Below are 15,975 nucleotides of genomic sequence, written 5' to 3'. Positions count from 1 at the left end.
CCATCACCCAAAAGCTCCCCCATTTCATTTTTTAGTCAAATTCTCCCCACTGTTCTCCGCCCCCATATCCAGTCCCTGGAAATCACTGATCTGTTTATCTCAAGTTTCTACCTTATCTAGAATGCTATAAAAATGAAATTACATGGGTACACAGCCTTCAGTCCAGCTTCTTTCTCTTAGCATATGGATTTACAACTCCGCTATGCTGTTGAGTGTATCAGTAGTATGATTCTTTGTATTCCTCAGTAGTATTTCATTGAATGATGTACCACTGCTGTACAGCTGTTAATCTACCACTGCTGTACAGCTGTTAATCTATCAGTTTCATAGTTGAGAGAACTTTGAGTTGTGTCACGTTTTTTGCAATTATAAATAAAGCCTCTATAAACATTTGTGTAGGATTGATGTGTGAAGATTTCATTTTACTTTGATAAATACAAATTGAGATGTCAGGCTATATTGATGAGTGTATATATAGCTTTATAAGAAACTGCTATTCTCCAAAAGTAGCTATACCAACTTGCAATCACATCAGCAATGTAGGAGAGTTGCAATTGTTCTGCAACCTTGCCAGAATTTGCTATTATTTATTTTTTATATCCATTCTAATATGTGTGTAATAGCATCTCATTAATTAATTTAATTAATTAATTAATTAAATTAGCACTTATCTAATTATTAATGAGTTTGCATATATTTTCTGATGCTTATTTGTATGTGCCTATCTATTTTGGTGAAGTTTCTGTTCAGATATTTTACCTGATTTTATAAAACTTTTCAAGAGATTATTACAATTTGAGAATTTTGTTAATAGTCCGGGCACAGGTCCACATGTGATTTGCACAAATTCCTATGATTTATTTCAGTAGCCTTTTGTAGTTTTCAGCATACAGAGTTGATACCTTTTTTGTTAGATTTGTATTAAAGTTTTACATTTTTGTGGAGTTATTGTATATATTACTATTTTGTTTAGTTTTATTTTGGTCTCTAGTTGTTCGTTGCTACACAATCAGTGATTGTGTCTTGGCCTTGTATTCTGTCACCTTGCTAACTCCTAGTTTTAGTTCTAGAATATTTTGCTTGTTTTGTTTTATATATTCCTTTGTATGTTCTATACAGAAAAATTATATAATCTACAAATAGAAACAGTTTAATTCTTTCTAATCTGTATGATTTTTATTAATGTTTATTGACAATGTACTAGAGCTAGGTGTTTTGGTACAATGCACTTAACTGTACATACATCCTTGCCTTGTTTCTTACCTTAGAGAAAGAATTCATTCTTTCCTTATTAAGTATCAGTGATGTCTGTGGGGTCTGTAGTTCTATCCCCTGTATCTCTCCTGATGCTGTTAAATGTGTGCCTTTTCTTTTTTTGCCTCTCTTTTCCTTAGTTTTAATAAACAAACAATAATAATGTAATAGGTTAACATAAAAGGAAACTGATTGAGGCATATAGGAGAAATATGTGTACTATCTTTGCAAATTTGTTGTAAATTCAAAATTATTCCAAAAAAAATTTTAAAAATATTAAAAACTCATTAGGTTTATTAGCTTATATAATTTCAATATCACCGATTAGAGAAAAGCCAAAGATTTGTCAATTATAAGTATTGGTTTGTCTGTTACTTACAGGTTAGGTAATATTAGGCAAATAGTATACCCTTCATAAGTTTCTCTATTTATACAACAAGATTGTCTTCATCATACAAGACTGAAAATTGAGATGACAGTTAATGTGTCTAGAACATTATATGGAATATACCAGGTGTTCAATAAACATTTGTTTTCTCTCTCTGGACCTCACAATTGCTTATCTTTGCTTAAATGCTAATGTTCTATTTTATTTTTTCTCAGTTTCCTTTTTTGTTTATAAAATTATTACTTATTGCTTTATTTGAACTACGTAAGTGGGAAACAAACTGGTAAAAGGTTTAATCTGTAAAACAGAATTTCATAGCTTATGCTTTTAGTGACTAAAATCTCTCAACACTCTGGAAAATCAAAGCCTTATTCTAAGGATATCACCATTATTAGAGACAGGATTAGAAACATACCTTATCATAACAATATTCATAAATTTACTGCCCAGTGTAGAACAATGAATTTTTCCTGAGCAATATAGCTCACAATCTCCAAGGGTGTTCCCTGGTTGTTGTATTTCACGACATAGTGAACCAGCTGCACTTTCTGCATTCAGGTTTCCCCTGGTCTTCTGGACTTCAGACATGCCTTCCCTGAGACCTGCTTTCCAGACTAGAGTTAAAATCTTAGGGCTTCTCCTTATCCTATCTGCCAAAAGCAGTTCTTTTCTTTTCTTATGGTGTGTTTGTGCTCTATCATCAGCCCCTAAACTCCATTGCTTATTTGCCTAGAAATTCCTAGGTGTGTCCCCAAGCTCAGCCCAGGACCAACCTGAACCCCTACACTAAGCTCTGGAACCTGTTTTTGCACTCTTGGCACTAGGTCATCACTTCATAGGCAAGACCCACTATGGCCCACCATGTCAGTTGCTAACTGGCAAATTCTCCATCACTGTATGTTGTTTTCTTTTTCTTTCCTCTATTCTTACCTTCTTCCCTCCCTTCCAATAGGGTCTAGCTCTATTGCTCAGTCTGGAGTGCCCGGCATGATCATGGCTCACTATAGGCTCGACCGTCCAGGCCGAAGTGGTATTCCCACCCTAGCCTCCCGAGTAGCTGGAACATGGGCATGCACCACCACGCTCAGATACATTTTCTAAAAACAAAACAAAACAAAAAAAAAACGGTGGGTCCCCGTGTTGCCCAGGCTGGTCTCAACTTCCTGGGCTCAAGCAATCTCCTGCTTCAGCCTCTCAAAGCGCTGAGATTACAGGTGTGAGCCACCACACCCAGCCTGCTTTTTACTCATTTTCCCCCCCAACAGATTCATTGTTTTCATTTACAATAGAAATCTAAATGTCTATTTGCTTAAAACAAAAGAGAGAAACACAACTTATATTTCTCTCTGAAAATAGCTTTTAAAGATTGAGGCACACAGAAATCTTGTTTTATTGTTTATACACATCTGCCTTAAGTGGGAAATGCTGGGGGCTCATTGACAAGTGCAAATGGATTGAAACCTAATCATTTATGTTAATATTCTTCTTGTCTGATATTTACAAACTCATAAGAGCCTTGTAGAATTTGTTGGAAATTTTCTTGTTTCCTTGGAATATTTAAGATATTTTGCATTATCCACTCCTTGAAATTTTAAGCCATCTGAATATCATCACTTTTTAAAATTTTAAGGCAGAAAGATTTTAAACCATTGATTCAATTACTTTAGTAATTGTAGAACTAGTTAGACTGCCTACTTTGTCTTAGATAATTTTTAGTGAGTTATATCTTTCTTGAAATTTATCTATTTTTTCTGTTTTCAAATGTAGTTATATAACATTTTTCAAAATTATTTTTCTAATTTCTGTGTATCTATAATTATGTCCTGTTATTTAGTCCCATTTGTTTTCTTGACTAATCATGATAGAATTTTAATCTATTTTATTAACTTCTTCAAAGCTAAATTTTCAATTAATTCATTCTCTTTATTCTGTGTTGTTTTACCTTTTGGTAATTTTTGTTCTTTTAAAAAATATTTTCTTCTTTTACAGGCAGTTTTTTTTTTCTCTTTTATTCCATGTCTTAAGTTTAATGTTTTACTTTTTAATTTTAACCTCTTATTTCTTTTATGAACTTTTAATGTGATAGATTTCCTTCAGTTACTGTGTCTGCCATATCTCATAAGTTTGAAATTTAACATTTTTATTATCACTTGGTTCTAAGTACTTTAGAATTTACATTACAATTTTTTAGTCATAAATTATATTATGTACAAATATATAAGCATTTAATAGAGTTCCATACCTGCAACATGGAAAGAAATAACTAATTGTAAGTAATTTATAATCATATGAAAAATAAAGCATTATAGTCTTATGTCTTTATTATTCTAAGCAATGCAGAATCCTAAGCACATTGTTATTTCAAAATGGTCTTATGTTCAAAGCATGAAAATGAAAAAGAAATTGACATTCTGATCACTTTTTCTTCCGTGGCTTTTTAATACAATGCAACTCCCAGATATTAGTTATAATTAGCTATCATCACTTAGCTTTCTCTGTCAAAAAAAAATCAGCTGGAATTTCTTTTCTCTAATTTTTCTTTGATATGTCTGAAAAAATGTCACTAGTTAAGACAAGAACAAGAGTCCAGTTGTTAACATACACAACCTTTAAAGTCATTATTTTTATATTCTTCTGTATAGAATTATCACTAAACATACATGTTATGAGAATTCATCATGACTTCTCTTTTGTAATCTCTTTAATAAATAAGCAAAAAACTGCAAGGGAAAGTACTTTTCAAAAAGTATGCTTTTGTTTTGTTTTCTGGACATTGTTACTGATAGCATCCAAATTGGTGTTTGTCTAATTGAACATGGTTTGGGACTGGTTAAGTCTAATTTACCAGGTCAGGGTCTTTTTGCTCAAAGAATTTATGTCCCTCAAACCATAAAAACTAAATTGTACAAAAATAATCAGATGATTAAATATTCAGTCACTCAACCAGTGTCTTTGTCTGAAAAGCTTCAGGTAATCATTTTGATGTATAAACCATAGCCTCACTGGCATTTTAAATAATTTGATTACTAAGTTAAATAGTAAGTATTTTTGTACCTACTATGCATTTCGAACTACCTCAGAGACCATGGAATATTCAAAAACATGAAAAGTAACATTTTTCCACAAGTAAGTAAAATACAAATGAAGAAATAATAGAATAAAATATCAAATATTGCATATAATTTTACAGATTAAAAGTCTTATAAAAATGAAATATTCAGTGTCATGCTAAGTGTCGGGTTCTAGCCCAAGCTGAGGTTCAACAGGAGTTGGTGGATGAATGATGGGTAGCTGAAAGAACACTCGAGTGGCCATAGGCAGGTGAATATGGTATTATTATGCTCTTTCTCTTTGTCAGCCTTTGTCTTGAGTACCTGCTCCAGCTGCGGCCCTTCTCAGCAGCCAGCTCTGTGCTCTGTAGCTCCTGCCACCCCTGTGCCTGCAGCTGCACTCCCTGGTGCACTTGCCATTTCTTGGCTCACTCTCCCTGTCCACCTGCAAGGTGGATGGCTCTATTATGTGTGCAGTAGCAGCAGCAACAGCACTATTCACAGCATCAGTGACTTTACTCTCTCTCTCCCAGCATCTGCCTGCAAGGTGGCAGGGCAGTTATACTCCCTACAGACAACAGTAGCTTAGAGCCAAGAATGAGCTTACACCAACAGGTTACATAATGAGCAGAGCTGTGCGCCTGCACTCCAAACTCGCTGAGTCATGCTGAACTGGATGCCTACCTTGTGCCGTCCCAGTCTGGGGAGTCATTACCCATGAACGCACTCATTCTGCTATTGGGTAAGTTATCCACATGATGACTGTACCCATCCTATCATGCTATCATGAGCCTAAAGGGCAGCATATGCAGCTACTAGCTGCTTCCCTATTAATGAATACTGGAGCTTAGCTCCCTTTTAAAGTTGGAACCAAAAGCCTACTGGTGTTCTCAAGTGCTCTGTGTGCTGTCACAGGCCCCAAACAAAACTATCTGTGGTTACACACACATTAAATTTAAATGGGTACCCCTGGCTAATCACTTCAGGGCCTGTGCTTGCTGAATAGCCTGCTTGGCTGCCAGGAAGTCAGTCTCAGTTGCACTATCTCGATCCCAGGCAAGAGGGGCATTGCTGCTTCTAAATTAGCAAGAGAATCAGAGGTTAACATAATATCAACAATGAGACCATGACATATGGTGGGGTTATGCATATAGTCCTATGGCAACATTGTGAAACTCCACTGTCACTCTCCCATGAAGGCGAACTCTTCCTGGCTCTCTGGAAAATAATGCATTAGCCAAGTCCACCACATAGTTGTATTGTCCCAATTCCTTTGTCAAGCGGTCTATCAAATCTGTGATAGATGGGACAGCTGCCAAGCCATGTAAAACATTCACACCCAGAATGTATTCAGGTATGAGAGAAACATACACAGTGTATAAGCAGGGAGCCAAGTGGCCAATGCCAGGTTGCAAAGATACAGGTTTCACTTTCATTGACCGGCTTTCACAGCCATTTATATATATACACAGTCTTGCCAGGAAACTTATCTGGGTTCCCATAAACAAGGCTGCAATCTGCACCAGTATCTACTAGTGCCAGCACCTGCTGTACAAATCAAACAGAAAAGGCTCTGCACCCTCGCCTAGCTGCCACCACTTAGTCTTTGAGCTGGAGCACCTGGGCAGGACTGGGTTGCAAAGCATTATCCTTCTCCTGAATGACTTGCACCAAGTCTGTATACGACTGCCTTCTACTGACAGTTTCTGGTATTTCACCGGCATCAGTCCACACTGTCCGTATGGCCACCATTAGCAATTTAATTAAAGTATGGTTGCCTCGCCCCACTGCAAAGTGCCTGCTCACATGCAACTGCTGATGGAGGGAGGGATGAGTCCTGATGGAAGTCACCTGTCTATTCCAGAGGTGAAACTGCAGATACTATCTGCTCCCTCGTCCCATAGATGAAGAATCCAGGTTGGCAGAGGTTCCTCTGGACGCTGATGGCACTGTTTATTCAATTCCCATAGCTCAAGGTGGAATCCTGTAGGGACTGAGCATGCACTTTGCACAGCACAGTCACAAATGCCCATCTAACTCTGCTGGCAAAAGCTTGCTCCTTCTTAGTGCTCTGTGCTTCCAGTTGCTTTAGTATCTTCTCCATGCTTTCAGGGGACCTATCTACCACCAACCCAGGTTTCCACCGGAGCTCATTCGAGCAGCACCACTACCACTGGGTACCACAACCCATGTTGCAGCCACATGGCTGACCCGGAATCAGCAGAGGCTGAAAACTCAGTCACCTCAGTATCCTGCCAACTACACCAAGTGTCAGGTTCTATCCCATGCTGAGGTCCAAGGGGAGTTGGTGGTCACTCTTTCTCTCTCCCTCTATCCACCTCCAAGGTGGCAGGGCAGTTATACTCCTTACAGACAATAGTAGCTCAGAGTCAAGTATGAGCTTACACAAACAGGTTACATAGTGAACAGAGTTGTGCGCCTCTGCTCCAAACTTGCTGAGTCATGCTGGATGGAATGTTTACCTTGACCTATTCTTGACTGAAGCACACCTGTTTTGTTTACATTCAGTTAGCACTTAATTTTTTAACAAGCATTCAACCAAAAATTTTTAAAACTACTGTAAAAGGAAGGCACTGGGAGTACAATTATAAATAAGAACCTCTTACGAGTAGCTCACAGTTAGATGGAAAAAAAACAGTAAGCAATTAATTAGGATATAATGAGGTAATTAGTACACCATTCAAAAGTGGGGGTCAAATGTTAGAGGCACTTAATCTGGTCTTTGCAGGTTAGGAAAAGAAATGAAACAGGTAAAAATCAGGGAGGGCAGGTAGCAATCATCAGTATTCCAGAAATCAAAAGAGTATTATGTGCAAAAGACAAAAATAGCACATTTGAAAAATTGCAATTAGGACAAATAGTTAAAGATGTCAGGAAAAATTGCCAAGAAAGTACTCTGATAAACTTGTAGATATATGCAGAGACTATAAGATGGGGAAAAATATAAGCCATATTAAGAAATTAAGCTATTAATGTATTCTAAAGGCATTGGCTTCCAAAGTTTATAAGCAGGTGTGATTGATTTTTTTTCAGCAAGCCAATCTGCCTTTATCATGGAGAACGAATCGGGTAAAATCAAGACCAGAAGTTTACTATCAGAAACTAGTTCAGAAAAGGTGGTTTGAGACCTGAACTAAGGTAGTCACAAATGGAATATACAGAAATGCCGATTCAAAAGCTTTTAAGGAAGTGAAATGCAAAGACCTGAGGATGCCTTACACATGAAGCAAGAGGGAGAATGAAAGGTCAATTGTGAAGTTTTAGTTAAGAACAACTTTACCATTTAGTGTCTGATGATGTTGTTCACAAGTTAGGAAATACTAGAGAAGGTCTGGTTGAAGGAGATAACAAGTTTTAGATATACTGATTTGAAACTGCATTTGAGATACCCAAATAGATATAGTCATGAGGGTGCAGAATAAATGGTGGCTACTGAGCTCAAGAGAGACTCTGGATGAGGAATAAAAATCTAAGAGAACATTACATACATGATTCTAAAAACCTGACAATTATCTAATGAGACAACTGTTATCCCTAATTGCCACATTCCTTTAACGTTCTACTCGGAGCCTCAGAGTTCTTATTGACAAGTTAGTGATAACAGTTCTGTTTAACGGTAGCATGAAAACAGATTCATATTCTATCCTGCTCCAAAATCAGTGTTTTCCAAAATTCATTTAGGCATTAAACCCTTTTAAAGGGAAAACAATCTGATGGATCCATAGTTAACTTACTTTTTCATCATAAAACATGATATGCAAAAAATGAGTTACAGTATCCCTTTATCTATGCTTCCTATAACAGCCAAAACCACATTTACAAATCAAATGCAAAGAAAAATTTCCAACAAAACTCAAAACATATTTAACAAAATTAATAGATGATGCTTAGTTGACCCAAAATCTCCACTTACCCTTTGCATATGGACTAAATGCTATGATGTGGGGTCTTTTAGGTTTGTCTGCATTTACTACTTGTGCTTTATGATAACTCAGTTGTCCTATTTCTCCTATTATGTTTCTCTATTCTAGGTAGAGATTCAGCTTATTACTTAACAGAAGGAGGGCAACTTGGTGTAATTCAGGGCCCGAGCTGTGGCTCTGCAAAGGCTGTAACCTGCATTTCTACAGTGATGACACCTGCTCCAGGGATCGTTATTGCTACGAGGTAGAGCCACCAGGGGACCTGCCACACTCACAAAAACCAGGAATGTAGCACCTTCCAGGTGTGTGGGCATCTAGGCAATGTGGGAAGCACAGTGGCAGGCACATAAGGGGATCCCCAAGTACAATGCCCAGTTCAATTTTCTGGCAGATATGGCCATCCTGTTTCCCTACAGACCCATAAACTCCCAGGGGGCACAAAGTCCACTGGGGTTCGGCCTTCATAAGGCCGCTTGTTACACCATAACCTTGCTTCACCCCAAAATCTGAGTAATCAGAGAAGGAGGGGCTCCGCTGGATGCTGCCAACAATGTTTGCCTGACTCCCGGAGCTCAGCGAGGGTATAGGCACCATACGAAGTGCGTTCCACCACAGTAGGGGGCCCCTAAGCCCGCCCCTGAGGGCGCATCGGCTGCTCATGAACGGGAGTTTCCAGCAGCGAGGATGGGCTCAAGGTCACACTGACGGCAGCCTCTAACTCCTGTTCCAGGATGTTTATCTGGGCCTCTAAGTGCCCTGTTTGTGTCTGGAGGTCCGTTACCTCCAAGTTTTGCTCCAACCTGTGTATTTGGGCCCACGGGCATGTGGCTTGCATGTAGAGGTCACTTACCTGTGCAGCATCCCACAGGGACTGAGCATGTACTTCCCGCAGTGCAGTCAGAAATGCCCATCCAACTCTGCCGGCGAAGGTGCATTGCATTTCTTCTCAGCACTGTGTTCTTCCAGCGCTTTAGTGCTTTCTCCACACTCACAGGAGACCCGCCCACTGCCTCCCACGTTTCCACTGGGGCCCATCCCAGCAGCACCGCTGCCACTGGGTACCACAGCCCATCATGCTGCGGCCACATAGCCTGCCCGGGAGCCTCGGGAGCTGAAGACCCACTCACTCTATCCTGCTGACAACGCTAAATGTCAGGTTTGAGCCCCAGCTGAGGTCCGATGGGGAGTGGGTGGACGGACAGGGAGCTGGTAGAACAGTCGAGAGACAGCAGGTAGATGGGATATGGCTTTATTGAGCAGCTCTCTCACAGTGTCAGTGCTACATTTATATACCTCACAGAAAATAGTGCCTCAGAGTCAGATGATAAGCCTCCCCATGTTATGGCTACATAGCTGTAATTATACGCATGGAATTGTGCACCTGTGTTCCAATTCCGCTGAGTCGTGCAGGATGTTTACCTCGGCCTATGCCTGCCTGGCTAGGCCTATGCTTGGGCAGCCATGTTCCTTACAGTAAGTCCAGACTGTTCTACGTTCAAAATATTTAGTAAATCTGAGCAATGAGAACACATGAACACAGGGAGGGGAACAACACACAATGTGGCCAGTTGGGGTTGAGGGAGGCTAGGGGTGAGCATCAGGGCAAATGGCTGATGCATGCAGGGCTTAGGTGACAGGTTGATAGGTGCAGCAAACCACCACAGCACACGTTTACCTATATAACCTGCACATTCTGCATATGTATCCCAGAACTTAAAGTAAAATTTAAAAATATGTATATACATGTATGTGTGTATATATATCTATTTAGTAAATCTTAACTATGTCTTGAATGTCCATTAGTAATTAATGCTAATCTATTCTTAACTCTCTCAGTATGCAGCAAAATATAAAAACAACATATTCTCCTTGGTTTCCCTCTTGCTTCACATCATCTTAAAGTGCCTACACACCCTACACTCTGGGCAGGAAAATTGCGACCATCTGCAAACATCATACAGTTGATATAGGATTCTCACTTAACTCTATCCCCCTAATGACCTCCATCTGGAAAGCTTTATTTTACTCAAAAGTCAAGGCCTCAATCGCCTCTACAGCCTGTATTGCATGGGACAGGCTGGGTGGGTTGGAATGGGGACTCAGCTGTTCTTTATACAAGGAAGGAATCTCCAAGTTGGCCACTCCTGGATTCTCTAGCTTGGAACAAACATTCAGGTGCACTCCAAATAGTGACCAGAGTGAAATGTTTTTTTTTTTCTTTCAATGTAAGCACAACCCTTCTCCATGTTTAAAATTTTCTACCAGCTTCTCACACCACCTAGAGTAAACGCCAAATACTTGCCCTATTTTACTGCCACACTGGCAGGGATAGACAGTTTTTCCTCTCTTGCACTTGCTGTGTCTTCTATTTGTCATCCTTTGCTTCAATTCTCATGTGGCTCCCTACTTCTCACTACCTAGACCTCAGCTCAGATGACTCCATCTTCTCATCATTAAGTCAGCTCAGCTGTCCTTTTGATTTTTATCAAGTAGCTTTACCATTCTGAGTCCCATCGCCCTATTTTATTTTCTTCCTAATATTTATCATATCTAAATTAGATATTTTTAAAAAGAAGTGTTTAATTGTCTATTTATTAATTCCTTCTTTAAAAAAATGTTTTTTTTGAAGTGTTTATTGCTTTTTTCCTCATTCAAAACATTGTTTGCTGGAAGTCAGGTAGTTTTTCTGTCTTGTTAACTGTAATATTACCAATCCCTGGAACAAGCTTGGTCCATAAAGGATATGTAGTATAAATTTGTTTGCTAACTATTATGAATTTTAATATAAATAAATAGAAGTCAACTGAAATATCTTGGTTACAGAATGATACATTATAATATAGAATTTAAAAACAGGTAAACTAAGGCAAAACATCATTTACAGGTGAATTAGCTGAGGTCCTGAGAGATAAACTAGTAAGTGAGACAGCTGGGTCTCAAATTCAGGCTAACTGAATATAACTCTCGAATTGTCAAACTTTTACTTGGGATTTATTTTCATTACTGATCAATATGAATGTGGGCAGAAAAGATAACTTTTAATTAGCCATAAACCACTTATATAACCCTGTATTTGTTGGAGACCAGAATATGTGTGGGAAATACAAGAACTCTCACCTGTAAACACTGCCCTCAAGGAGGCTAGTGTCTAGATGAAATAATGTACTTTTTTCTTTTATTTGAGAAAAAATGTTTAAGTCTTAGGTCCCTAGGCAGAATCATAAAAGATAAATACAGACTCTGCAAAGAAGGAGAACTGAAATTAGTAGATATATGACTTCAAGCTGGAAGGGAGCAGGTTGGATGAGGGATCATTCTTGAGCTCTCACTTGAAGAAGAGAAAAATTTCTACCTAGAGATGGAAATGGCAAAAAGATAAAAGTAGCCAGGGACAGAACACAACATAGGATTCTGCAGCATTAATATAGTGAATTCAGTTTGTTTTTAAGTGAAATTGGGAAAGAAAATTAAAAATAATTCTGGCCCATCCATTTGTTTTTACTGGAAAACTCCAACATGAAACACAAAAGTTCAGAATAAGATGAATGATATAAACTTAAAATCCTGAGGACCCTTTACCCCAACTGAATAGACCCTCTTGTGGCCAAGGCGATCCTAGAAAAATCTTAAAACTGAGTTCCTGGCCGTGACACTAGAGGAAGTCAGACTTTGTTATACCCCCTCCCCTTTATGGTTTACAGACAACCACCAGCATTAATCTTAAAATAGAGACTGACAGAACCCTCTTTGTGGCAATAAGATACCAAATTACAAACAGGAGCTAAATGCCAGGGAAAGGTTAAGTAATGCACTGCACCCGTCCCCCCGACTTTGGCCCCCAACACTTAAAGAATCAACTCTGTTCTATCTGCCACAAGGTTTTTCGTTCACTCTAGCAGCTAAACAAGCACTGGTCTTGAGATAAGCAATGTTAAGATAATTACAGTTCATCCAGCTCACAGACATTGACTGAGCCCCTGTTTTACCAGCCACAACTAGAGCTTTGATTGGCCAAGACTGATTTTGGTAACTTTCTTTTTATAAGACCAGTGACCATGGACTGCTCCTGGCCAGTATACAGAGATTGTGCACTTGCAGGCCTTTGGGTTCTGAAAAGACCTTTTGACATATAGAGCCTAACTGTAATACATTTACATGTTAAGTCTCCATCCTATTGTGTCAAACTCCTATTAACCTCAGTATGGAAGGCACCACATTCAAGAGGCCAAAGAAGAGACCCAGAGCCAGCAAATGAGACATGGGGCTTTATTAGGGGCTTACATACAGGGAAGAAAGTCCAATGCCTGTGAGCTGGACAACATAATCGCAGAGCCCGGTACTGGTGGCCTAGGCAAGAAAACTGCAACTCCCTGCAGCTTCCTGCAAACATCATATAGCATTTTCATTTAACACCCTCCTTCTAATGACCTCCATCTGGCAACCTTCATTAAACCTAAAACTCAGGACCTTAATCCCCTATACAGCATCTGTTCCATGGGATAGGCTGAGTGGTTTGAGGTGGGGGGTCAAATTTTCCTCTTTGATAAGGAAGGAATCTTCAGATTGGCTACTCCTGGATTCTTTAGCGTGGACCACATTCAGGTGCATCTACTATAGAGGGTCATTTAAGGGTATACTTAAATTATTTCTATCAGGTGTGTTTACCCTACATGTCCCAAAGTGAACATGGGTCATATGTTACAGGCATGTTTGTTCAATATGCATGTGTCAGGAGTGCCTTCAGGAATATTCATAGCTCCTCCTGTAGGCTGGTGAATATCTGTGTTTAGCCAACCTGTTTAGCATAAAGCTCCTACCCCAACCCCTCCTCTTCCAAAGTGCCTGTCCCTGGTCTTTTCTGGAGGCATAGTTCCCAGCCTGCAGAATGGCCACCTTGCAGGCTATAACCTTTTATAAGAAATAAACTCTCCTCTCATTTTACAGATTTATAAATTGTGTGTGTGTGTGTGTGTGTGTGTTTGACAATGGATAAGGAGGAAGGTTAAGTAGAAGCAAACAGAGTATCTCACATTAGGGATTTATGAGGAAGGTTCCAAATGAATTGGAGTTTGGAAAACATGAGTAAGGTAGAAGAAGGGAATAAAATAAAAATAGGAGAAAAATTAGAAAGAAGCAAAGGGTTAAAGACTGTCATGCTTACACTTTAGGCATTAAGATTAATGATGAAACATGAGAAAGATACCAGTTAAGGAAAGCCACATTTAATCACTGAAACACATATGAACAGTTGATGAGGTCAGATACTTTAAGACAACACCAATTGATGAATATGGTGATATTGATGAATATGATGAAATCAATTGATGAATATGGAGATATTCATCATTTAGTAAATGGGATGTACCTGTAACTACAGAAAGAAAAAGGCAGCAAAAACAGCAGAGAGGCACAGAAAATCACAGAAATAAAAAAAGAGACAGAGAGAATAAACAAGAGAAGAAAGGAAAGGTGAGAAAAGAAAAGAAAAAAAAACAAGAAAAATGAAACCAAAATAAGTTGACATTATTAAACAATACAGGAACTGTGAGTTTAATTTCCATTGTCCGGTATAAAAATTTAGCCCATGTGTGCTTAATTTTTTGGAGGAGTCTGGCATCATCAGTTACCATATATATAATTCTGTAGATGGCTGCTCTGTTTTCAAAATCTAATTAAAAAGTACAAAACCCTTCAAAGCTTGGAAATAAATGTCTCTGTGCTTCTTCAGGAATCACTTCAATTGGCAAATAACTGTAACCACATCATTACCATTTAATGTCTCGGGCAGTTCCAATGGTACCTGGAAGATAATAAAGAGGTGTCAGTATTATTCATATCTTTTAATTGCTCCTATTAGCATTTTTTTTGTTATCCTGTGGGCAAAATTGTAATGCTTGACTAGGCATATAGTGGATAAAGGAGACATAACAGTTCAGACTAAAATACTCTCCTAAGTACCTATTACTTTGGATAGCTATGAGCAACAATATAACTTTGTAATAAAACCTATTTACTGATAAAAATTAAAATTGCTTTTAACAGCTTTATAGCATGCAAACCATTAAAATAATTATATCATGCTGCAGCTGCTGTTCTGGTAAGTCTGGCTAAGAAATAAAGTAAAAGAGAAAGAAAAACAAAAGAAAGTGTAACTCCCAAGAGCAAATGAAAGAACGTTGTGAAAGCAGAGAATTGAGGGTCTAGCATTACCATCTTTCTGCCAAAATCATTCACTATTCAAATAGCTGAAGGAATGTTCTTTTATACTCTTTCATGTTTATAAAGATTAAATAAAATAATGCATGCTGCACTATTTCTGAGGCTTCAGGTAACACTTTTTTGAGGTATAAGAAATACCTCTTTATAGAATCCGTAAGCAGTCTCTTTACGTTGACTTAGCACATTTTGTCAATAAGCTAGACATTCCCTTGAAGAGAAGCAATGGAATTCAAGCAATTCCCTTGAATTAAGCAATGGAAGATCATTGCTTAATTCCAAAATTTGTGGCATTTAGATGATTAGCTCCCTGTTATTTACATCTAACTTAATTCCATATTGATGAAACTACATAATGTGTATATGCTATGAATCCATTGAGATTTCTTGGTACTTACCTGAATATATTACCGACTTTTATAATTTTCTCTTTATTTTTTTTCCTGCTTAAAATTATTCGGACTTTGTAAATCTATTAATTGTTTTTATTAAAGCTTCACAGTTATTAGATATTTTACTGTTCCTTTTATACCATTCTCTTCCTTCTGGGCATATATTATATATTCTTCTTATATCTTCCATGCCTCTTATTCATATTTTTCATTTAATTTATCTCATACTCTGTGTTACACTTGAGATGATTTCTTTAATTTTATATTCCAACTAATGAATTCCCTTATTAAATAGGCCTAATACATTATTAAGCCATTCAACTATGTTTTAAATTTCTATCATTATATGTTTTGTATTATTTTTCTAAGTTCTTATTAATTACAAAAATATTTCTTGGTCATTTTGTATAGTCTCTTAATTATATTTCCAATCCCTTTTCTTTTAAAAAAATTTGAAGTTCTGGGGTACTTGTGCAGACGTGCAGTTTTGTTACATAGGTAAATGTGTGCCATGGTGGTTTGCTGCACCTAACAACCTATCGCCTAGGTATTAAGGCTAGCATGCATTAGCTTTTTTCCCTAATCCTCTCCCCACTCCATGCCCTCCCCTGACAGGCCCCAGTAAGTGTTGTTCCCCTACCTGTGTCCATGTGTTTTGTTCAGCTCCCACTTATAAGTGAGAACATGTGATGTTTGGTTTTCTGTTCCTGCATTAATTTGCTGAGGATAAT

At 38.1% G+C, this 15,975-nt stretch overlaps 1 annotated feature.

Moving 5' to 3' along the window:
• Positions 4,891–6,090: an enhancer, noted in NCBI's record as "MED14-independent group 3 enhancer chr18:41065893-41067092 (GRCh37/hg19 assembly coordinates)". NCBI's record gives its function as "activates an origin of replication core promoter dependent on BRD2, BRD4, P300/CBP and CDK7 cofactors, and independent of MED14, by STARR-seq in HCT116 cells {active_cell/tissue: HCT116}" and the evidence as "EXISTENCE:reporter gene assay evidence [ECO:0000049][PMID:35650434]".

Source organism: Homo sapiens, chromosome 18, assembly GCF_000001405.40.
Source record: "Homo sapiens chromosome 18, GRCh38.p14 Primary Assembly".
In the NCBI taxonomy this organism is placed as follows: Eukaryota; Metazoa; Chordata; class Mammalia; order Primates; family Hominidae; genus Homo; species Homo sapiens.
The sequence above is the reverse complement of the archived record's forward strand: the minus strand, read 5'-3'. Positions and strand labels throughout refer to the sequence as shown.